Source organism: Homo sapiens, chromosome 2, assembly GCF_000001405.40.
Source record: "Homo sapiens chromosome 2, GRCh38.p14 Primary Assembly".
In the NCBI taxonomy this organism is placed as follows: Eukaryota; Metazoa; Chordata; class Mammalia; order Primates; family Hominidae; genus Homo; species Homo sapiens.
In genome coordinates this window covers 62,301,615-62,324,224 of record NC_000002.12, presented here as the reverse complement: position 1 = coordinate 62,324,224, position 22,610 = coordinate 62,301,615, and the positions used below count along the sequence as shown (strand labels likewise).

Sequence of the window (22,610 nt, the reverse complement as noted above, 5' to 3'; positions counted from 1 at the left end):
GTGAAGCAATACCCTTAAAGGCAAGAGCCTGTACTTCCCCTAAGCTAAACATTGGAATAAAGTCACTTTCTTTAGACCAGACCTCACTTTTGTGAATTGGACCCTGCAGGTGGCAAGTGACTGGTACGTGTTTCAGTTACACTGCTGCTCCAACATCATCCGCCAAAGAAAATCACCAGCCAGGGCTGGCTATGTGGCTCTACCGTATCACAAAGACACCAAGAAATGCAATCCTGACATATGCCCAGAAGGGGATAAAACTAAAATGGATATTTGGCAAAAGCATTGATGATTACCACATATAAATGACCGTATAGGGCCAGGCATGGTGGCTCATGCCTATAATCCCAGCACTTTGGGAGACCAAGGCAGGAGGATCACTGGAGCCCAGGAGTTTGAGACCAGCCTGGGAATCGAACCCATCTCTATGTAAAACAAACAATAAGCAGCAACAACAATAAAAAAACCCACACACAAGAAAATGACCTTATAGGTTTTCCTACAACCCCATAATGCAAGGAGTTAGAGAGTAATCTTTTTTTTTTCCAGAAGTGTGGAAGGGGCAGCAATGGCTTGTTTCAACCAACCTCCTAGTGAGTACAACTCTAAGCTGGACAAAATGTTCTTGAAATAGGTGTGAATGTACTAGAGAACTACCAAAGGCAGTGAGGACTTGATGGGCCAAGATCCCAGGGAGAAGGGAAGCCCAGGGAGGTGAGACTCACATTGGGGGCTGCTTTTTCTCTTAGGCATTTACCATTCAAAAGTGGCAGATGATACCACATCATACCCACTAGGATAGCAAGGATGCATAGAAGTTGGAATCCTTGAGCATCGTTGGTGGGAATGTCAAATGGTCCAGCTACCGTGGAAAACAGCATGGTGGTCCTCAAAAAATTAGACAGAATTACTGTTAGGATCCAGCAATTCTACTATTAGGTATATATCCGAAAGAATTAAAAGCAGGGACTTGAACAGATATACGTACATCCATGTTCACAGCAGAATTATTTGCAATAGCCAAGAGATGGAAACAAAACGTTGACCTGAAGAATCTGAGGCAAAATGAATGTAGACAGTTTATTTGGGCCAAGGTTGAGGGCAACTGGCTTCCAAGTTGGTTTGGGGAGTGGTCCATTCAGCATAGGTTACAAGCAGGTTTTTAAAGGCAAAAGAGAACAAGAAATGGGCTGATACAAAATTGTTTGACAGGAATTCTCACTGGTTTGCAGAAACAACATTGATTAGCAATTGCCTGTGCGTAGTTGAAATGTAGAGTATGAGTTATGGTGTTTAGCATGGGGCATTTTATGGCTACTTGGCATTAGTTAGTCTAGAGCCTGCATAGTAAGTGGCTTCAAGAGGTAATTATTTGGCTTACGGGGGGAGTGAGAATGATTGCTGTCACACACTGTCACATTTCAGTGCTCTCTGGGCCTGGTAGTTAAAGGGGGCTCCCATTCCCCATATAAAAATATTTTCCTTTTTTTTTTTTTTGAGACAGAGCCTCGCTCTGTTGCCCAGGCTAGAGTGCAGTGGTGTGATCTCGGCTCACAGCAACTTCTGCCTCCCAGGTTCAAGCAATTCTCCTGCCTCAGCCTCCCAAGCAGCTGAGATTACAGGCATGCACCACCACGCCTGGCTAATTTTTGTATTTTTACTAGAGACGGGGTTTCACCATGTTGGCCAGGCTGGTCTTGGACACCTGACCTCAGGTGGTCTGCCTGCCTCAGCTTCCCAAAGTGCCGGGATTACAGGTGTGAGCCACCACGCCCAGCAAAAAATGTTGTTTTCTTTCTCAAACCCAAATATCTATCAACAGATGAATGGATAAACAAAACATGGTACATACAGATACAATGGATAACCAGAACATCATCTGAGAAATGGGAATAATAATACCAAGCTTACATGGTTGCGTGAGGATAGAGAAAAACGTGTATAAGATATCTGACACAATGCTTTTGTACTTTAAAAATGGTATGTCTGTGTAAACGCACCCAAGTGGAGCAATTGTTATAATGGAAAAATACTGACATCCACAGTGAGATTATTCTTGTAATACATATACAAATGTGCTAGGGGAAGAGGCTAGAAACAGATACAGCTGAGTAAAAACCGAGGCTCTCAAAGGTCACGGCAGAGCAGAGGAGCAGTGGGAAGAGATGCTTGTGGAGGTTTTGACACCTGAGTGAACCCTGAGGCTTCTGGGTTTTGATGTTCCTCGCATTTTAATAATAGCAAGAGGAAACTAACATAAGAAAGAAATCCAGTGCAATATTTATTTTATGGTATTCTCTGTAAAATATGGTCACTTAAGCTTCTATGGATTAATGAAGAAAAGCCCTCACAGTCTAATTGAATCTTCTGCTGCTGTGTAATTGAAAAACAGGAATGAAAAATAACCCTATGGTGGGTTCTGAAATGGCTCAAGTTCAGCAAGGTCTGTCAGCCTCCAAAGGGCTGCTCCAGATAAGGTTTAAGCTTTCAAATGTCAAGGAGACTGCTCGCTCAGGAGCTCCCAAATTGAAATTCAGATTTTTTTTTTTTTTCAGGGCTAAAAGTCACACTTAATTATGCTCTGAGCTTGAGAAATTCCTTAAGTAGCAGCTGCTTCTCTCAGGAATTAGGTTGAAGGAACGAGAAATGTTTTGTCCCATCCCCCATTAATTTAACAATTGAAATGTAGGCACGGAGAGATGATAGGGAAGAACAGGAAGAGATGGGAGCAGAGAGAGAAGGGCCGGGAGTATGTATCCCAGCCTGGGAGACAGGCAAGGTGGGCTTGAGGTGGGTCAGAACTACCCTTTTTAATAGCTTCAGGGTCTTTTCCCCACCTGTCTCACTCCCTTAGATACCCTTCCCTTGAATTTATACTCTCCCCATTTATCCCTTATTAAATCTCTTCTCAGGATAGAATTTAACAAGCAGATTTCTGTTGAAGGGAAGGTGATGGCCATAGATTAAAATAAAGACTTCCCTGGGAGATCTCTGAACAGAGAACAAAACCTCAAACCAAAGGAGTCATTTCTCATCTTGATTTAAAGGTCAGTGAGCAGAAGAATGTTCCCTGAGAGGAGCATTTAGTGTCCCTGAGATGGTGGGGTCTCTACGCAGGAAAGCAGCCTTATTCTCACTCTCTCTATTCATAGGCTGTTGTGCCAGACCCCAGTTGACTCCAGTAGGAATGGCACTGTGTCTGAGGGGACAAAAAGAGATCCAGAGAGAGTGAACGAGACAAAGGGTTTACTGGGGGCATTTAAAAATAGGGACAGTCCAGTGGCAGTGGGCTGAACAGAAAGACTGCTACCCTTTGTGAAAAGCAAGCACCTAGCAGCCTCCATTTAACCCAAAACAAAATGCCTAGATCCCCTGTGTGGCCTGCATTCCACAGGATGGGCCAGAAGCTCTGATGTCCTTCAAACCACAGGGAGTGAATCTCCAGGTTGGCCACTCCGGGATTCCTTAGGTTGTAACTCCAAAAACAGTTTCTTCTTGGACCGTAGTCATTCTCAGCGTATGCGTAAGTTAAGGCTGCCAGGTGCCTCTGCCACACATAGAGTACATTTCCTACCATTGTAACCTTTATTATCATTGTAAACATTAACATTTACATTTACTATAATTGAGTTAACACTTACTATAATTGGGCCTTTAATGAAATATTTCATTTCTTTATGATTTCACTATTTTTTGGCCTGTTTAGATTTGATTAAAAGGAGAGTTTTTAAATCTCCCACCACAATCATAAAACCAAATTTATAGAATAATTTCCTAGTAGCTCTATCAGTATTCATTTAAATTTAGATAAATAGATATGTATTAGGCTTATGTCTCACTATTATTGTTTCCTCTTTTTATCATATTCCACTACGCTGAGATTTTTGCTTTGATTCATTTGGTTTATTTATTTATTTATTTATTTATTTATTTATTTTTATTTATTTTTGAGATGGAGTCTTGCTCTGTCACCCAGGCTGGAGTGTAATGGCACAATCTTGGCTCACTGCAACCTGCACCACCCAGGTTCAAGTGATTCTTCTGCCTCAACCTCCCAAGTAGCTGGGATTACAGGCGGACACCACCACACCCAGCTCATTTTTTTGTAGTTTAGTAGAGACAGTTCATTGTGTTGCTCAGGCTGGTCTCGAACTCCTGAACTCAGGCAATCCACCCGCCTCAGCCTCCCAAAGTGATAGGATTACGGGTGTGAGCCACTGCCACTGTGCCTGGCCTTTATTTATTATTTTTTAAGCACATACCACCTTTGGGATTGATTCACATGTTGCTTGGATGGAGGCTTTTCTTGAATAAATTCCCCAAGTAGAGTGTGTGGGTGCAGTACTCTCTGACCCATATCATATCCACAGAAAACATTCTCTCACCCTGATAAGTGAGGCCTGTCAGTCAGCCTGGGTGTCAGATCCTTAGGCCAAGGTCTTTTTTTTTTTTTTTTTTTTTTTTTTTTTTGAGACGGAGTCTTGCTCTGTTACCAGGCTGGAGCGCAGTGGCGTGATCTCACTGCAACCTCCACCTGCCGGGTTCAAGCGATCCTCCTGCCTCAGCCTCCCGAGTACCTGGGACTACAGGCGCCAGCCACCATGCCTGGCTAATTTTTCAAGGTCTTTTTACTCTCATTGTCATTAGATTTTATTCTGCAATCTTCTAGCTTCCATTGTTGTAGATGAAAAGCCTGAGGAAGGTCTGATACTCCTTTATAAGTCATTTGTTCTTTTTGCCTGGAAACTTACAGAAATTTCTCTTTATCCTGGAAGTTGAGGGCTTTTTACAGGATATTTCTAGATGTGTGCCTTTTTTTCTCAATCCAGGCTGGAATTCAATGAGCCCTTTTAAATAACAAGTCTTTTTTAATCACAGAAGCATTTTCTCTTTCTCTTTCTCTCTCTCTCTTTCTTTGTTTTGACAGAGTCTCACTCTGTTGCCCAAGCTGGAGTGCAGTGGCATGATCACAGCTCACTGCAGCCTTGACCTCCGACTCAAGTGTTCCTCCCACCTCAACTTCATCATTTATTTAATCCCTGTACTTCCTCCAACAATTCCTTTTCTCCTTCTTGAATTTCTGTTTCTTAAATTAGGTCTCCTGGATCAATCCTCTAAGCCTTTTATCATGGCAAAATTGCATGGGCATTAAGAAGCAAAAACATGTGATTAACAACAGCACAGCAAACCACCACGGCACATGTTTACCTATGTAACAAACCTACACATCCTTCACATGTATCCTGGAACTTAAAATAAAATTAAGTTAAATTTAAAACAACAACAACAACAACAACAAACCAGCACTTCACAGCACAGTGACAGAAGCGCAACTACCTGGGTCTGAACACCAGCTGTGCAACCCTGGGATTGTTCCTTACCCCTCTGAGCCTCAGTTTCCTCAGCTGTGACATGGGTTGGTGAGTAATAATAGCTAACTCATAGGTGTTAGTATAAATTAAGTATATTAATGTATGTAAGTTTTGATAATAATATAGTGATTATATTCCCTCATCTTTTTGAAGTTCTGTGCTATGATTTGAGATTTTCTTCCATTTGATCTTCCAGGCTACTGATTAATATTTCTACTGTTAAAGCAAACTAAATATGGCCTGAGAAGGACTCTGTACTCCTATATTTGAGTCCTTGTGGATGAACTGTAACCTAGCTTAATAGTCAGACAAAATTGAAAACCTAACTTAATAGTATGTACCTGTAACAATAACTGAGTGTTGGACAATCCCAGTGGTCATACTTCAACCACTCATAGACTGCTGAATGTTCAAACTACGCACAAATAAGGCAAACGCAGAGCTGTAACCAATCTCACTGTTTCTGTACCTCACTTCTGATTCCTGTACGTCACTTTACCTTTTTTTTTTTTTTTTTTGAAACAGAGTCTTGCTCTGTCGCCCAGGCTGGAGTGCAGTGGCACAATCTCGGCTCACTGCAAGCTCCGCCTCCCGGGTTCAGCCATTCTCCTGCCTCAGCCTCCCGAGTAGCTGGGACTACAGGCGCCCGCCACCACGCCCAGCTAATTTTTTGTATTTTTAGTAGACACGGGTTTCACCTTGTTAGCCAGGATGGTCTCGAGCTCCTGACCTCATGATCCGGCCACCTCGGCCTCCCAAAGTGCTGGGATTACAGGCGTGAGCCACCGTGCCCGGCCGCTTCACTTTACCCTTTTTTGTCTAAAAATTTGTCCTGACCACGAGGCACCCCGAGAGTCTCTGTGAATCTGCTGTGATTCTGGGGGCTGCCTGAATTACAAATTGTTCCCTGCTCAATTAAACTCCTTTAAATTTAATTTGGCTGAAGTTTTTCTTTTATCACCACTTTGCCCATGAGCTCTTTGAATACATCTACTGAGTTTTTAATCAGAAAATCACGTTTTTAGTTCCAGGAAAAATGTTTTGATGCTATATTTAAGGCTTCTTAAATGCTCAGGAGGTAGACTGTATCATTATCCTCAGTTATTTACTGCTCCTCTCTGCAAGATGCTTACACTTTTCTACCCTGCTAACATCGGGCTTGGCGAGTGACTTGCTTTAGCCAATGAAATGTGAGCAGAAGCAACACAGGCCATTTCTGAGAAGCTTTAAGAGTCTTCATGTGGGCCGGGCACGGTGGCTCACGCCTGTAATCTCAGCACTTTGGGAGGCTGAGGTGGGTGGATTGCCTGAGGTCGGGAGTTTGAGACCAGCCTGGCCAGCATGATGAAACCCCATCTCTACTTTAAAAAATACAAAAATTAGCCGGGGATGGTGGCAGGCACCTGTAATCCCAGCTACTTGGGAAGCTGAGGCAGGAAAATCTCTTGAACCAGGGAGGCGGAGGTTGCAGCGAGCCGAGATCGCGCCATTGCACTCCAGCCTGGGCAACAGAATGAGACTGTCTCAAAAAAAAAAAAAAAAAAAGAGTCTTCATGTGGTTCTGATGTCCCTTTTTCTGTCTTTCAGATAGGAGGGTGCTGTTCCTTGAACTTGAATCCTAAAATGAACAAGATATGAGGCAGGGCCAAACCCACTCATGAAGGCCATGTGATATGACAAAGAAGCAAACCTTTGTTTTCATAAGCCGCGGAGCTTCTGGGGTTGGTTGTTTCCATAGCACAATCTAGCAAAAGCTTACTAATACAGCCAATATGTTTGTTTGTTTGTTTTTTGAGACAGAATTTCACTCTGTCGCCCAGGCTGGAGTGCAGTGGCATGATCTCGGCTCACTGCAACCTCTGCCTCCCGGGTTCAAGTGATTCTCGTGCCTCAGCCTCCCCAGTAGCTGGGATTACAGGTGCGCACCACCACGCCCAGTTAAGTTTTGATTAATATAGATTGCTGTTATTTTGTTACTTGATGTTAGGCTCATGGTAGGGTCTAAGGGCATTCTTGCTTCTCCTGGTCCAGCCTCAGTCTTAGGCAGAGGCTGTGAGCCTGAGCCCTGTGGTTGAGGCCTTCTCAGAGTTTCTGCTCCTTTCCCATCCCCATGGCAACCAAACTCTGTCCTGGAATCTGTGCTGGGTCTTGGGTGTAAAAGAGCCCCTCCGGCCAGTCATAGTGGTTTATGCCTATAATTCCAGCACTTTGGGAGGCTGAGGTGTGAGGATTGCTTGAGGCCAGGAGTTCAAGACCAGCCTGAGCAACATAGCAAGAGTCCCTCCTCCAGACTCACACGTCTCCACTGTATATTGGTGCAGAATCCTAGGCCCAGAAGGTTTTCCTACCCCTGTTTTCCCAGGAGAAGTCAGCTTTTGCTTTGACTCTTATCCCAGAAGCAGTGGATCTTTGCCCTTGCCAGTGTAGAATGAGAGTTTCCTACTGTTTCCCAAAGGCAGCCAGACTCTGCTTCTACACCTGTGGCTCTGGGGTGGAAACTGTTTGCTGCCATTCTTCTAGCTGCTTGATGCTTTTACTTGATGAAAGAGGAGTCTTTGGAAGTGAGTCCCCACCCACTTCTTGGCTACACCCTGGCGTAGGGTTGCCTGCATCATCTTGAATGCCTGCACCATCAAGCATGGGGCTCTTGCCCTATCCCCATTTTTTCTCATGAGCACCTAGTGGAGGCCCATGGAAAAGGGCTTGTAGTGACAAACTCCCCTTCTCTCTGGGGCTCCCAGTCATTCTAAACTGATACGCGCCGGGTGCAGTGTCTCACGCCTGTAATCCCAGCACCTTGGGAGGCTGAGGCAGGCAGATCACTTGAGGTCAGGAGTCTTGAGACCAGCCTGGCCAACATGGTGAAACCCTGTTTCTACTAAAAATACAAAAATTAGCCAGGCATGGTGGTGCAGGCCTGTAATCCCAGCTACTTGGGAGGCTGAGGCATGAGAATGACTAGAACCTGGGAGGAGGAGGTTGCAGTGAGCCAAGATTGCACCACTGCATTCCAGCCTGGGTGACAGAGCAAGACTCTGTCTCAAAAATAAATTAATAAATAAACTGAATGCTAATCCATACTTAGTCTTCGGGAATCCAAGACATTTGAGTTCCTTCCTTTTTACCAACACCGGTGGTGGCCACTTCCTTCTGTTCTCTGCCAAAGACAGGACCCCCCTCATGGTATCCAAGCTGTGCAGTCACACAGTGCCCTGTGCTCAGAAGTTCCCCATATTTTTCACTGGGTCCTATAAATCTGTAAATGATGTAGCCAGTCCTGGGCAAAGGTAAAATAGCCCCTGTTCCCTATTTCTTCTCACGGGGGATAGTTACTCTTTGGAATTCAGTTCATTTCATTGCCTTGCGACCTCAGCTCTCTGACGAGTTCAAGAAAAGGTATGATTTGTAGATTATACGTCTTTTTCTCACCGTTTGGATGGGAGTTCTGTTCTTTTTTTTTTTTTTTTTTTTTTTTTGAGGTGGAGTCTTGCTCTGTCACCCAGGCTGGAGTGCAGTGGCACGATCTCAGCTCACTGCAAGCTCCGCCTCCCGGGTTCATGCCATTCTCCTGCCTCAGCCTCCCAAGTAGCTTGGACTACAGGCGCCCGCCACCATGCCCAGCTAATTTTTTATATTTTTAGTAGAGACGGGGTTTCACCGTGTTAGCCGGGATGGTCTCGATCTCCTGACCTTGTGATCCACCTGCCTCGGCCTCCCAAAGTGCTGGGATTACAGGCGTGAGCCACTGCACCCGGCCTGAGGAGTTCTGTTCTTTATTCATCTGCATCCTAAGCAAAAACAGCCTCTTTCTGTTAGAAATTATTTGAGGCCTCAAAGGGAGGTAACAGTGCTATGTTGTCTGCAGATTCCCTGCCAGGGATAAGTTGGTGATGGACAAGTGATTATCCCTGGGTGGTGTGACTCTTTTTTCTACTTTTTATTTGATTATATTATCCCAAATTACTTTTACAATGAGCAATCCCTGCTTGATTAAAAACAACTAGAGCATCAAACTTTGAAGCATCCCTTTTAAACTTTTTTTTGTTTTGTTTTGTTTTGTTTTTTAGTGACAGTGAAATGATCCCTCAGAGTTCCTTCCCTAGACTCACTGGAGAAAACAGCATATCCAGGGGCACAAAGTGATATTATACAGAAGGCACAGACAACAAATTAACAGAACTCTGCTGCTCTAGGACATAGCTCCTTCAATTCCTGGCCTTTGGATCAGGTGACAGAAGGGCCACTCTCTAAATATCTCCTTCCAGTACCATCATTTCTGCACTGGCTAGTAAGGACCAAATGTGGCCCCTGTTCCTTTCCTCCCATTCTGCTTTTGGGTAGTGGCTGCTTCCTGCTGAGACAGCATGTTTTTGGGCACTCCCTCTGGGAACATGGCATAAGAGGGAGTCAGAAGCCTTCCTCTCATCTCTGCCTCCAAGTCTATCACCTTAGACAAGTCGCTGATCCTCTCCAAGCCTCAGTTTTTTTTTTCATCTAAAAAATAAAGGTAAGCACGATAACCACCCCCACTGGGTTTTTTTTAAGGAGGACCAAATGTGATGATGTTTTAAAAAAGTATTTTACAAGCTGTAAAGAACCCTCATTATTCATCTTGGTAAGCAACTTATACCTGGGAGTAGAATGGGGTAGGGGACAGATGGAAATGGGTCCTCACGTTCACTTTCAGAGCTCATATTTTGGAGCAAAACTTGGAGATAATAGTATCTGACTCTTCTCTTGTCTTTTAACCACCACTCCCCTACACCCTGGTGAAACCTCAGTGTGTGGGTGTGGTTGCAGGGGCAGGCTATCTCTGTGGTCACAATACTCAGGGGGCCTCCTTCCTTCCTGCTACCTTCTCCCTGGCTGAGTGGGCATGTGTGTTGGGGAGAGCTTCTACTACCATCAAATAGAACCTATTAAGTACCTGGCAAGTGTTTCTCTGCTAGCTGGACACTAATCCTTTTCTGCAAGGGAGGGACCCCTTAATAGCCATCACTAGGACATCTTCTCTGCCCTTGCCAACGCAGCTGCTGCTTCATGATCTCCCTGGAACAGGAGGGAACTTCCCCCCCAAACAGAAGGTGTGCCCCATTACAAGGCCACAGAAATAAACTCCCTCTGCAGCTTCTCAACTAAATGGGGACTCCCAGATGGTAAGGCCCAAGTTCCAGGAGAAGCACAGCCAGGTTATCCCATGACAGGGAGCTGTCCACTACTGGCTGGTGGGCGATAGGGCACATCTGAAAAGGTGATTCTCTTTGACTAACTGCTCTTCATGGCATACAGCCTAGCAACTTGACCATTGATATTTCCTTTTTTCCTAGCATGGCTTTCTTTTATTTTATTAATTTATTTCAAAATTATATGTATCTGAACACCTGTGAACACATCTGTCAACCCAAGATCTAATTTTTTTTTTTTTGAGACAGGGTTTCACTGGTACCAAGGGGAGTGGCACAATCACGGCTCACTGCAACCTTGACCTCTTCAGGTTCAGGTGATCCTCCCACCTCAAGTAGCTATAGCTGGGACTATAGGTGCACCTGTAACAGGTGCACCAAGCTCAACTAATTTTTTAAATTTTTATTATTTTTGTAGAGACGAGGTCTCCCTGTGTTGCCCAGGCTGGTCTCAAACTCCTGGGCTCAAGTGATCTACCAGCCTTGGCCTCCCAAATGCTGGGATTACAGGCATGAGCCACTGCACCTGGCCTAAAATATCAACAATAACTTACATTTACCTGTGTGCTTCCCTTTACCCCTTTACTTCCATTTTGTCCTAATAATTTTCTTCCTTTAAAAAATAGTTAAATTAGTGTTATCCTTAATTAATGTTTAATTAATGTTAAATTATATTTGATTAACGTAATGCTTAATAAATGTTTAGTTTTAGTTGTTTTTAAACTTGTTAGAGGGCCAGCCACAGAGGCTCACACCTATAATCCCAGCACTTTTGGGGGCCAAGGTGGGAGGATCGCTTGAGCCCAGGAGTTAGAGACTAGCCTGGGCAACATGGCAAGAACCCATCTTTACAAAAAAATACAAAAATTAGCTGGGCATGGTGGCATGTGCCTGCTGTCCCAGCTGCTCAGAAGGCTGAGGCGGGAGGATCACTTGAGCCTGGGAAGTGGAGGTTGCAGTGAGCCGAGGTTGTACCACTTCACTCCAGCCTGGGTGACAGAGTTAGACCCTGTCTCAAAAAATAAATAAATGAAGAACACTTGATAGAAAGGTATTATGTTATAGGTAGTCTATATATAATTATATTGTAAGAACAGTGTAGCATGTAGTTATAGTTCATTGCTTTAATTGTGTAATATTCTACAGTGTGAATATTTCAATTTGCTTATTCATTTACCTGTCAGTGGACATTTGGGATGTTTCTGGTTTGATTTTGTTTGTTTTTGCTGATATCTACAGAGCTCCTAAGGGTATTCTAATAGATATATCTTGATGCACACATTGGGTCATAGAGAATGTGAATATTCAATTTTATAATATAGTTAATATAGTCAATAATAGTCAATAATAATAATAAAATGTATCAATCTGTTCTCTTTTTGGTTGGTACTTTTTTGTACCTAATTTAAGAATTCTTCCCCTCTTTTTAAATATTTTTTAGCGACAGGTCTTGTTCTCTTACTCAGGCTTCAGTGCAGTGGCTCAATCGTAGCTCACTGCAGCCTGGAACTCCTGGGCTCAAGCAATCCTCCTACCTCAGTCTCCTGAGTAGCTGGGACTACAGGCACATGCCACCACACCCAGACAATTTAAAACATTTTTTTATAGAGACAGGGTCTGCTTTGTTGCCCAGACTAGTCTCAAAATCCTGGCCTCAAGTGATCCCTCTACCTTGGCCTCCAAGAATGTTAGAATTACAGGTGTGAGCCACCGTGCCTGGCCTCTTCCCTTCTTTAGTCCAAGAAAGACAGTCCTCTATCTTTTCTACCAAGATAAACAATGAAGACATGCTTTGACATTGCCCAGTTTCATTTTTCTCCATATGGATGTTTTCCTAGCTTCAGTTATTGAATAGTTCCTCTTTTATCTCCTAATATGATATAGCGATTGATATTTTAACCATAACTTCACATTGATTCTTCATAGAAGAAAAAATTTCACTCATAATCTTAATAAAACATTATGTTGACATATACCTTTAAAACATATCAATTAATTACTTTTTTTTTTTTTTTTGAGACGGAGTCTCGCTCTGTCTCCCAGTCTGGAGTGCAGTGGTGCGGTCTCCGCTCACTGCAAGCTCCGCCTCTCGGGTTCACGCCATTGTGCTGCCTCAGCCTCCCAAGTAGCTGGGACTACAGACGCCCGCCACCACGCCCGGCTAATTTTTTTTTTTTTTTTAAGTAGAGACGGGGTTTCACCGTATTAGCCAGGATGGTCTCGATCTCCTGACCTCGTGATCCACCCGCCTCGGCCTCCCAAAGTTCTGGGATTACAGGCGTGAGCCACCGCGCCCGGCCTTTTTTTTTTTTTTTTTTAAACTGAAAAGTGATCACTTCTGTAGAATATATTTCCTACTGGCTATGCCCTCCTTGGCTTCACCCATGGCATTGGGCAAGTACCTGGTTGGCCCATTGCACTTCAGTGCAGAGCCTGGAGCCAGAAGGGAGGCCCTGCCATTGGTCAGCAGGGCAGCTCGCCTCACAGCTTCATTTGGACAAGAGTCGCAGACAAGCTCAAGGGTCTAGGGGAACCAGGTTTGGAGATGTTAGACTGGGAATGGGCTAGCTCAGAATCAATCTGAATGATATGACATTGTTACAGGCTGGGTTGAATTATGTTCCCCCAAAGGATATATGCTGGCCCCCAAACCTGTGAATGTGGCCTTATTTGGGAATAGTCTTTGCAGATGCAATCAAGTTAGGATAAAGTCATACTCAACTAGAGTGGTCCCTAATCCAATGACTGGTGTCCCTATAAGAAGAGGAAAGTTTGGACACAAATACACAGGGAAAAGACCTCATAAAGATGGAGGTAGAAATGAATATGATGGGTCTACAAGGCAAGAAACGCCAAGGAATGCCAGGAACGATAAGAAGCTAGAAGAGGCAAGGAAGTGTTAAAGCAAACTATATATGTCCTGAGAAGGACTCTGTACTTCTATATTTGAGTCCTTGTGGATGAACTGTAACCTAGCTTAATAGTCAGACAAAATTGAAAACCTAATTTAGGAGTATGCGCCTGTAACAATAACTAAGTCTTGGCCAATCCCAGAGGCTATACTTCAACCATTCATACTCTGCTGAGTGTTCAAACTACGTTCAAATAAGGCAAACACTGAGCTGTAACCAATCCGGTCATTCTGTACCTCACTTCCAATTTCTGTACATCATTTCCCTTTGTCTATAAATCTTCTTCCACCATGTAGCTGCGCCGGAGTCTCTGTGAATACGCTTGATTTGGGGGCTGTCCGATTCACAAATTGTTCATTTAATTAAACTCAATTAAACTCTTAAATGTAATTCAGCTGAAGTTTTTCTTTTTTCAGAAGGCCCCTCTCCTAGAGACTCTAGAGAGAGCATGGCCCTGCCACCACCTTGATTTCTGACTTCTAACCTCCAGAATTGTAAGAGAATAGATTTCTGTCATTTTAAGCCACAGTTTGTGGTACTAACACAGACACCTTCTCCTCTGCCAAAAATAATAATTCATGTGATGGGATAAAAATGACTGGCGAGTTCCCAACCTTTCCCACCCCCATGGCCCCTAATGAGGGTCCTGGTTACACTCTCCTCAGTTCCTCCTGGAGCCCACCCTCCAAGGAAGGAGCCCCGCCCTGCCAGCCATTTGTGAGATAAAAATCAGAGGAAACGGAAACTGAGAGCCAGACCGGGAGCCCCTGCAGCAAGTGAGAGCCATGTGTGGGAGAAGACGGAGGGGGACGTGCAAGAAGAACTGTGCCTCTCACATGGCCACCGTGAGAATCGAGTGCAGTCTAACGAAGGACTACGTTCACTTATCGGTGTGAGAAACACACGTGAAAGACTTGAGTTATTTTGAAATCACGTTTTGTTTCATGGTCTTTTGACCGCATCGCAGCTCCAGCACAGAGCTGAGCCACGTGGACCGAGGCTCTGTGAGCTTTCCTCTCCTCCCCATCACTGAATGCTTTCTGCCCTCCAGGCCCCTGCTAAGTGCTTGGCAGACTCCTCTCCTGTCCTCACAGCAACTCTAGAAGGACAGTGCTGTTTTAGATGACAAAACTGAAGCCTCACAGCAAACCTCAGTGAAATAGCCAAGGTCTAAAAGCTCAGATTACCTCATGCCTAGCTCAGAACTATTAGAATAATAATTGAAGCAGCAAGGAGCCTTGAGGCGACACCTAGAAGCTGGCAACCAACCCTACTACTGGTCTATGCTCTTGGGACAGCCTTGCCTCCTGGGATAATGGCAGCTCTGTTACCCTCCAGGAGATAGAGAATGGTGTGTTTCTGGCATTGAGGCCTAGCCAGGCCAGGGTGGGCAGAGGTGGCTGCTATACAATGGGCTCTGGAGCCAGACCGACAGGGTTCCCCCCAGCTCTGCCACTCTCTAGCTATATGGGCATGTTATCTGACCTCCCTGGGCCTCTGTTTCCTCATCTGCAAAATGGGGATAATAATAGTTGCCACCTCAGAGGGCAGTTGTGAGGATTAAGTGAATTAATACAGTATGTGACATGCTTAGAACAGCACTGGACACAGTAAGCCCTTAATAAAAGCTAGCTCTTGTGATTATTGAAAAACATGATGCTCTACTCAGATCTGACAAGACCTTAGCTACAAAAAATATAAATCATCAAGCAGACTGTCTGATATGTGTATTTTTATTAAGTGTAAGAATGAACCTCGGCTGGGTGCAGTGGCTCACGCCTGTAATCCCAGCACTTTGGGGAGGCCAAGTTGGGCAGATCACTTGAGATCAGGAGTTCGAGACCAGCCTGGCCAACATGGTGAAACCCCATCTCCACTAAAAATACAAAAAATTAGCCAGGCATTGTGGTGCATGCCTGTAATCTCAGCTGCTCGGGAGGCCAAGGCAGGAGAATTGCTTGAACCCGGGAGGTTCATTCGTGACCCCTCTATCTCAATTCCTGCTTCTGTGGAATGGGGATTGCTCTCTGCCTCACAGAGATTTTGTGAGCAGGAAAGGCACAGAGTAGGACTCACAGCAGCTAATAAATAAGTTTGTCTCCTTGGTTTATAATGGCCAAGCTCATGCACCCTCAGAATAAGTACAGAAGGTGAGGAGACTGTGCAAGTAAACATGGTAGGTACAGGTGACCCGGGTCCAAGCCCCTTGTTGGGCCAGGTGTTCCCTTTTCCTTCCTCTCTCTCAGGCCTGCTTAGGGATTAGAGGGTGGGAGAGCCAGTCAAGAGCAGGTTGCCATCCTCCAGCAGCACGGAGGTCTGTGATGGTCTGGGATGTGACAGGGACCTGTGGCTGATTTCTAACCAGCCTTCTAACCAGTTGAAGAGCTGGACCAGCTTTCTGTGCTGCAGAAAGCTGCAGCGGGGTTGACAGACAGACTTGCACTCACACCCTGGGCACATCACCTTCTGCAGACCTTATGGGCCTCACCTATAAAGCAGGGATAATAGAGCCTACCCCACAGACCTCTTCTGAGGATTCCAGATGGTACTTGGGAAAGCACCTTGCAGGGCACCTGGCATCTAGCACGCTTCTGTAAAAGCCACTCGGATGCGACATTCCTAGCCCACGTGGTTGCTCTTTGGTTTTCCTTTTCTGTAAAATGGTGATGATAAAACTACCACCTCCCAGGTTTAACATGAGCATGAGATAAGGCAGGGCACAGAGGAAACGTCGATAAAGGACAGCTACGAGGGATGTTACATGCTTTTACACTTATTATTCCTGTGAACCAAGAGTTTGGATAGCGCTCCGATCCTTGATAAAGGGCCTTTCCAACTAATCTCAGGGACCACTCCTACAAGAATCACATAAGCATGGCAACTGCTCCCTGCCTTCTACAACTTCCTGGCTGGCACAGATCAGGGACTCGCCCACAGGTCTCCTTGCTAGGCAGGCTCCTCGGCCCCTCCCTGGTGCCCTGTCAGCTCTAGGCTTTCTTGCCCCCTCATCAGGCAGTGCCTACCCACCCCTCATAGAAACCCACATGTACAGAGGGACTCAGGTTCAAGGCCTTCTCTTTTTTGGTTGCCCCGTAGATAAGCACTCATGGCATTTTAGTTTTGTAAGTTTCACAGCAGATAATTACAGGAAAACAGATAGGGGATGGTCAAAAGAGCAAATCCCAGGAAGGTGCGAAGTCCTCCCAGGCTGGTCCTGACTTTCTGGGAATAGGAAGTGTTACTCCTGAAGACTGTGGCGATTCATAGGACTTTTATATTGAACATGGGACCAGGACACCGAGAGGCAGGTCAGCCCTGGAGAAATTTCAGCCAGTGCTAGTTTCCTGTCAGGAAGGGCAGGGGAGAAATGGGCAGCTTCCACTCTTCACAAAGGATAGCAGTGAATGAACTCCACTGCTACAGAGACAAACCCCTCAGGTCCTGGCTGAAGACAGACGAGGCAGCCAGCAATCTCAGATGCCTTACCTATTTCCAGGGGACAGGGGGCTGGACACAGAGAGGAGGGTCACCAGCCTGGCACAGAGAACACAGAGAGCAGAAAACTGAGCCAAGAAGGCTGCCCCCTCCAAGTGTTTACCTGAAATATTCACAAACATGATGAGTCACAGAAAGAAAGCAGAAAAACCAGTAAGATGTGTAACCAGATTCTCTTCCACAAAGCAAGGAGAAGTTGTGGCAATAATGCCAGTGGGCACGGTGTGCTCTGCTGAGGGCCCTGCTTGAGAAACCTGTGTCTCCACCACACTTTCGGCCTCAGCTAAGGTTGAGAAGGGAAACTGACAACTGTGCCAGGGCAGGAAAGTCCCTGCAGGAAGCCTGCTGCTGGTCTGGGTTACCAGGGCAACTGGCAGCTGCTCTCTTCTCTTGAAAGAGAATGGACTTGGGAGGCCCAGATGGGCTCTGCCCTAGTAGCCCAAATAAGAAGGCTTAACCTTAGACAGCATCAAATAACATCGGAGTACGCCGCCCCCACAGCACTTCCCATGCATCCCCATCTGATTTCATCTACCTCTCAGGAGAGCCGGGTGCAGGGTGATTATAACCATTCCATTCCACAGTGGAGAAAACTGAGATCCGGAGACACTAAGTCACTTGCTTAGATTTACATGACTAAGAATTAGTTTGGATCCATCTGGGCATGGTGGCTCACACCTATAATCCCAGCACTTTGGGAGGCTGAAGTGGGCGGATCACTTGAGGTCAGGAGTCCGAGACCAGCCTGGACAACATGGTGAAATGCCATCTCTACTGAAAATACAAAAACAAAAACAAAAACAACCAACCAAACAGACAAAAAACTAGCCAGGCTGGGGGCTTATGCCTGTAATCCCAGCTACTTGGGAGGCTGAGGAAGGAGAATTGCTTGAACCCGGGAGGTGGAGGTTGCGGTGAGCCGAAATCGCACCACTGCACTCCAGCCTGGGTGACAGAGGGAGACTCTGTCTCAAAAAAAAAAAAAAAAAAAAAAAAATAGAATTAGCTTGGATCCTACCTGAGTCTTTAAACACCAAGTCTAGTGAACATCCCCCTACACAGTCTGGCTGCCGAATCAAGAGCTTGGGTTTTTTCAGTGCTCTCATATCTATGAATGCATGCATTCTGTTTGCAAAATACCAGGCATGGATCATACCCCTCTTCATCTCCCACATCAGAGATGTGAAACGGCCGTGCAAGGAGGCAGGGCTGCCACGGCAGCAGTTTGAGTGGGTAGCCAACATCTGACCGAGACTCGAATCCAGAGCTTTTTCCATGACACCAGCTGGCTGCCTTGCCCCTCACCACATCTGGAAAAAATGACTCAGGTGACAGCAGGCTAATCATGTCATCCTTGTGACTGCAGGTGCCACGTCGTTTATGAAGCACTTTAAAGTGGGAACGCTTGCCCTGGCTTTCCCCCAGGCCTTTATTAAGTAAAGGTCATGCTGTTTGTTAAGATTTGAGCACACTGGTGGCTGGCTCACAGGAAAGAGCTTCATAAGCTGTGCCTGAGATAAGGTTGCTTCTGGAGGCCTCTCTGCAGAGAAGAGCGAAGCCCACCCCCACTGCCTGGCTGGTTGGATAATAAGACTCAGAAGCTCCAGTTCTCCCTGTCCCGTCTGGCCTCTGTGAATTGTCTGACTGCACTGCCACTTTTCTCACCTGCCTGAGGTTACTGTCCCAGAACCACCTGACCGCACAAGAAAGGCGGGAGCAAAGATAGGTTCAGGCCCAGAGATGGTTTCTAGTCTCCCTCTGTGATGGTGATTTTTCTGGCTGCAAGAGGTTTCCAATCCTGTCTCCACCAATGATTCCACAACTTTCCCTCATTCTCTGTGACTCTGGATTCCAGACTCAGGGCCCCGAGGTAACCTGAAGCCTCTCATCTGGTCATTGCACTAAAACCTTGGCTAGGGCAGGTGGCTTCCTTCTATGCCCAGATCAAAGGCGTGAGCAATGCCCTCAGCAGCTTCCCCAAGGCAGTAACAGGAAATAATCCTCCTCACCAGCCCCTCCCACCCACACTGTCCCAGCAGGTGGTGTTTGCAGAGGTAGCACCAGGTAAGGCAGGTGGCAGGGGAGAGGAACTGGATTGAAACCTCAGTTGGCCTCAAGCCACCCACTGCTCCCACCTTTCTTGTGTGGCTAGGATGTTCTGTAGCACAGACCACAGGTACGTGAGAAAAGTGGCAGTCCAGTCAGACACAGAACCTGCAAAGCCACATAGGAAGGGGAGAACTGGAGCTTCTGAGTCTTATTATCCAATCAGGGAGTTGGGGTGGGATTGGTTCCTCTGCAAAGAGGCCTCCAGAAGCCAGCCTTATCTCAGGCATAGCCTTGGGAACCATTTCCTGTGAGTCAGCCGCCAGCGTGCTCACATTTTAACCATGTTGGGCAGCATTCGCAGGCCGCCTGTTGTGAGGCAAGAAGCCTCCGCTGTTCTGGAGGAAGCCCACGTGGGGTGATTCTGAGCAAAGTCATTATGGGTCCTGTTAGGAAACATTAATTGTGTTTATGGGTAGAACCGCCCCCAAACAAATTAGACACATGTTCTAAGGTGTCCATTTTTTAAAATCTTGGTTGAGGTTGCCCTTTGGCTCCTGGGTGACATGAGTGCTTTGTTGTCCAACATTTGTTCCTGGGAGATGGGGTTACCAGAGGTTGGAAGACCTGACCCTCTCCTCACCTCAGGCTGGAGGAAAGGCTGTAACGATGCGCTGGGAGGGAACAATGCTGCCTAGACGGGCCTGAGGCTCTGACAACAAAACACTCAGACTGGACACTAAGATGGTGGTTTATTTTCTCAGAGGGGAAAGGGTCAGACCACACCTTCAGGTGTGGAGGGAGGAGGGAGATTGCCCCTAACAGAAAGGGGTGTCCTCATGGTCTGTCATCCCAAGGCAGGCAAGGAAGAGTGTTGTGGGCTGGAAAGGGAGGGATTTCTTCCTCTCTCTGTGGAGAAAGGGGGCCTGTATATTGCTGTTGGTGGGAGCTAAAGTGGCCCCTGCCAAATGGAGGCCTTTGGGTACAAGACACTTCTCCTCTGGAGGCAGATGGAAATTTCTAAGGCTGCTTTCTTTATGCCCCAACTCAGTGGAACCTGTGGTCAGATGAGCTGTGGGGGGTTGGGGAGGGCAATGTCTCCTTCCCAAGGCCTGGCAGAGTCACTAAGTCGCCAGTCCCATAAGCTACAGAGGCAGAATCATGGCAGCAAGAAGAAAAGGGTAGAGTGAGAGTGAGAGATACTTTCTGGAGCTGTGCAAAGCTGTCCCTGGGAAACTTTCAGAAATACTCGGGAGGGGAACTCTATGGTTAGGTAGAGTTAGATGTAGGAAGGAAGTATAATTTCACTTTAGAGTTGGTAAAGTTTCAACATAGGTTAATTGCATATGAAACACTCATTTCAAAGATGAAATAACCAGGGGTTTGGAGGCCTGAGAAAGAGAAACCATGAGACGGGGGTCTTCTGTCTGAGAAGCAGGTGCAACCCTCTGGCGGTAGCAAAGACCCAGGAGTTCCTGGGGTCTTGCGTGGAGCCTCGACAGCACATGTGCCTGGATTTTGGGTAAGGGTGGCACAAGCGAGGCCAGAAGCACCCCTCCTTCTCCCTGGCACATCATAAGGTGATCAAAGAATAATTTTTTTGAAAAAAGTCAAAAGCTGGCAGGGTGCAGTCGCTCATCTCTGTAATCCCAGCACTTTGGGAGGCTGAGGCGGGCAGATCACCTGAGGTCAGGAGTTTGAGGCCAGCCTGGACAATAGGCTCTACTAAAAATACAAAAATTAGCCGGGCGTGGTGACGGGTGCCTGTAGTCCCAGCTACTTGGGAGGCTGAGGCAGGAGAATTGCTTGAACCTGGGAGGCAGAGGTTGCAGTGAGCCAAGATTGTGCCATTGCATTCCAGCCCGGGTGACAAGAGTGAAACTCCATCTCAAAACAAAACAAAAACAAAAAAGTCAAAAGCTAACCAGAGGCAACCACACATGGAAAATAGTACAACCTTATGACATAAGACTGAAAAGGTGTCAAGAGGGAAGAAATAGAGGGTCTCAGAATGGAATGTTAGCTGTCTCTCTCCCACACACATAGCTGAAGCCAAATGAGGGAAGGTAAGAGAACAGGATCCCAAGAAGGGTCACCAGCACCTCTCAGTTCGGCACAAAGAGGGCCAAGATGCTAAAGGCAGCCTGGGGAGTCCAGGAGAAGCTCCAGAGAGGAGGAGCCCCTGGGCACCATCACAGAAGCCAGCAGCGGCTGGAGGAGTGGCTGGCTGGACTTGCTGCTGTTCAGAACTCTGTGCTGTCCAAGGGAATGAGCTGAAGTCCCAGGAGGGGACATGTGCCTGCCAAGTGGAGCAGACCCAGGTGTGGGATGCTAGCCCACGTCAGGAGGGAGCCAGGCCCAGCTCTGTCCTTCACCTGTCCATGTGACCCTCAGAGCTCAGGAAGCAGGAAGGAAGTACCACCCAGTCCCCAAACTCTAGTATTGAGGAAATGACAGGTAGCTAGAAAAGGTGTCAAAAAGAATTCGTCCTCACACTCTCAGAGCGTTAGATAGTCTGATCAGACTTACCTGTGCAAAATTAAAAGAGACAGCATGAAGGCTAAGCCAACATACTAGATTTTAAAAAAGAAGAACACCAAGAAGGAGAAGGCAGAGTAGGAGAAAGAAGAGAAGGAAAATAAGCAAGAAACAGGCTGAGTGCGGCAGCTCATGCCTGTAATCCCAGCACTTTGGGAGGGTAAGGCAGGAGGATCACTTGAGCCCAGTAGTTCGAGACCAGGCTGGGCAACATAGTGAGACCCTGTCTCTATGAAAAATAGAAAAAATGACCAGGGTGTAGTGGCGCACGCCTGTAGTCCCAGCTACTCTGGAGGATAAGGCAGGAGGATCAATTGAGCACAGGAGGTGGAGGCTGCAATGAGCCATAATTGCACCCCTGAACTCCAGCCTGGGTGACAGAGTGAGACTCTGTCTCAAAAACGAACAAAAAAAGCAAGAAACACAACATGAAAAAGATAAACATATCCAGATATCTAGATTGGGAGAAATCTCTCTCCCAAGTACAGAAGAAAACTCCTGAGAATGCTTCACATTGTAGAACAAATAAGAATATATAATACTTAATTAATCATTTTAATTTAATAGTTAATTATATTAATTTAACAATTAATAATTTGTATTAACTTGGTATATAATTAATTTTAAAATATTTAATATGCTTTTGAAATTTAGTAAAACGAGAACCCAAAGATGACTTGATAAGTCTACCAAGTGAAATGCAAAGGAAATTCAGAGCTAAGGAAAAAAATTCAGGATGAAAACAAGAGCTTTATAGAGCTATTAGATAAATTAGAAACATCAAGGAAGCTTGAAATTTTCCCAGCTCAGGAAAATCTTGAGATAATTCTAGTGAACATGGAAGAAAATGACAAAGCAATTAAAGTAGTTAAGAAGATGTTGGATGTATGGAGGACAAACACAAATCAACGTAAGGATAATTACTATTGAATTTCAGGTCAACATGTTGAGCACAGGGTGAACTCCCCCTACTGCTGTCATCTCCTATTGCAAATGCATAGAAAAACTTAATAAAATATAAAAATATATTTTAGATTGATATGTCCAAGCTCCATGCAAGAAAG

General features: G+C 45.8%; 11 annotated features.

Moving 5' to 3' along the window:
• Positions 3,236-3,285: an enhancer, noted in NCBI's record as "active region_15859". NCBI's record gives its function as "activates an Ori minimal core promoter by ATAC-STARR-seq in GM12878 lymphoblastoid cells {active_cell/tissue: GM12878}" and the evidence as "EXISTENCE:reporter gene assay evidence [ECO:0000049][PMID:35858748]".
• Positions 10,312-10,411: an enhancer, noted in NCBI's record as "active region_15858". NCBI's record gives its function as "activates an Ori minimal core promoter by ATAC-STARR-seq in GM12878 lymphoblastoid cells {active_cell/tissue: GM12878}" and the evidence as "EXISTENCE:reporter gene assay evidence [ECO:0000049][PMID:35858748]".
• Positions 10,472-10,521: an enhancer, noted in NCBI's record as "active region_15857". NCBI's record gives its function as "activates an Ori minimal core promoter by ATAC-STARR-seq in GM12878 lymphoblastoid cells {active_cell/tissue: GM12878}" and the evidence as "EXISTENCE:reporter gene assay evidence [ECO:0000049][PMID:35858748]".
• Positions 13,958-14,327: an enhancer, noted in NCBI's record as "active region_15856". NCBI's record gives its function as "activates an Ori minimal core promoter by ATAC-STARR-seq in GM12878 lymphoblastoid cells {active_cell/tissue: GM12878}" and the evidence as "EXISTENCE:reporter gene assay evidence [ECO:0000049][PMID:35858748]".
• Positions 17,133-17,422: an enhancer, noted in NCBI's record as "active region_15855". NCBI's record gives its function as "activates an Ori minimal core promoter by ATAC-STARR-seq in GM12878 lymphoblastoid cells {active_cell/tissue: GM12878}" and the evidence as "EXISTENCE:reporter gene assay evidence [ECO:0000049][PMID:35858748]".
• Positions 17,888-18,413: an enhancer, noted in NCBI's record as "H3K27ac hESC enhancer chr2:62532947-62533472 (GRCh37/hg19 assembly coordinates)". NCBI's record gives its function as "activates a minimal SCP1, AML or CMV promoter by ChIP-STARR-seq in primed H9 embryonic stem cells {active_cell/tissue: H9 hESC(primed)}" and the evidence as "EXISTENCE:reporter gene assay evidence [ECO:0000049][PMID:30033119]".
• Positions 18,143-18,212: an enhancer, noted in NCBI's record as "active region_15854". NCBI's record gives its function as "activates an Ori minimal core promoter by ATAC-STARR-seq in GM12878 lymphoblastoid cells {active_cell/tissue: GM12878}" and the evidence as "EXISTENCE:reporter gene assay evidence [ECO:0000049][PMID:35858748]".
• Positions 18,253-18,322: an enhancer, noted in NCBI's record as "active region_15853". NCBI's record gives its function as "activates an Ori minimal core promoter by ATAC-STARR-seq in GM12878 lymphoblastoid cells {active_cell/tissue: GM12878}" and the evidence as "EXISTENCE:reporter gene assay evidence [ECO:0000049][PMID:35858748]".
• Positions 18,414-18,941: an enhancer, noted in NCBI's record as "H3K27ac-H3K4me1 hESC enhancer chr2:62532419-62532946 (GRCh37/hg19 assembly coordinates)". NCBI's record gives its function as "activates a minimal SCP1, AML or CMV promoter by ChIP-STARR-seq in primed H9 embryonic stem cells {active_cell/tissue: H9 hESC(primed)}" and the evidence as "EXISTENCE:reporter gene assay evidence [ECO:0000049][PMID:30033119]".
• Positions 20,953-21,022: an enhancer, noted in NCBI's record as "active region_15852". NCBI's record gives its function as "activates an Ori minimal core promoter by ATAC-STARR-seq in GM12878 lymphoblastoid cells {active_cell/tissue: GM12878}" and the evidence as "EXISTENCE:reporter gene assay evidence [ECO:0000049][PMID:35858748]".
• Positions 21,093-21,172: an enhancer, noted in NCBI's record as "active region_15851". NCBI's record gives its function as "activates an Ori minimal core promoter by ATAC-STARR-seq in GM12878 lymphoblastoid cells {active_cell/tissue: GM12878}" and the evidence as "EXISTENCE:reporter gene assay evidence [ECO:0000049][PMID:35858748]".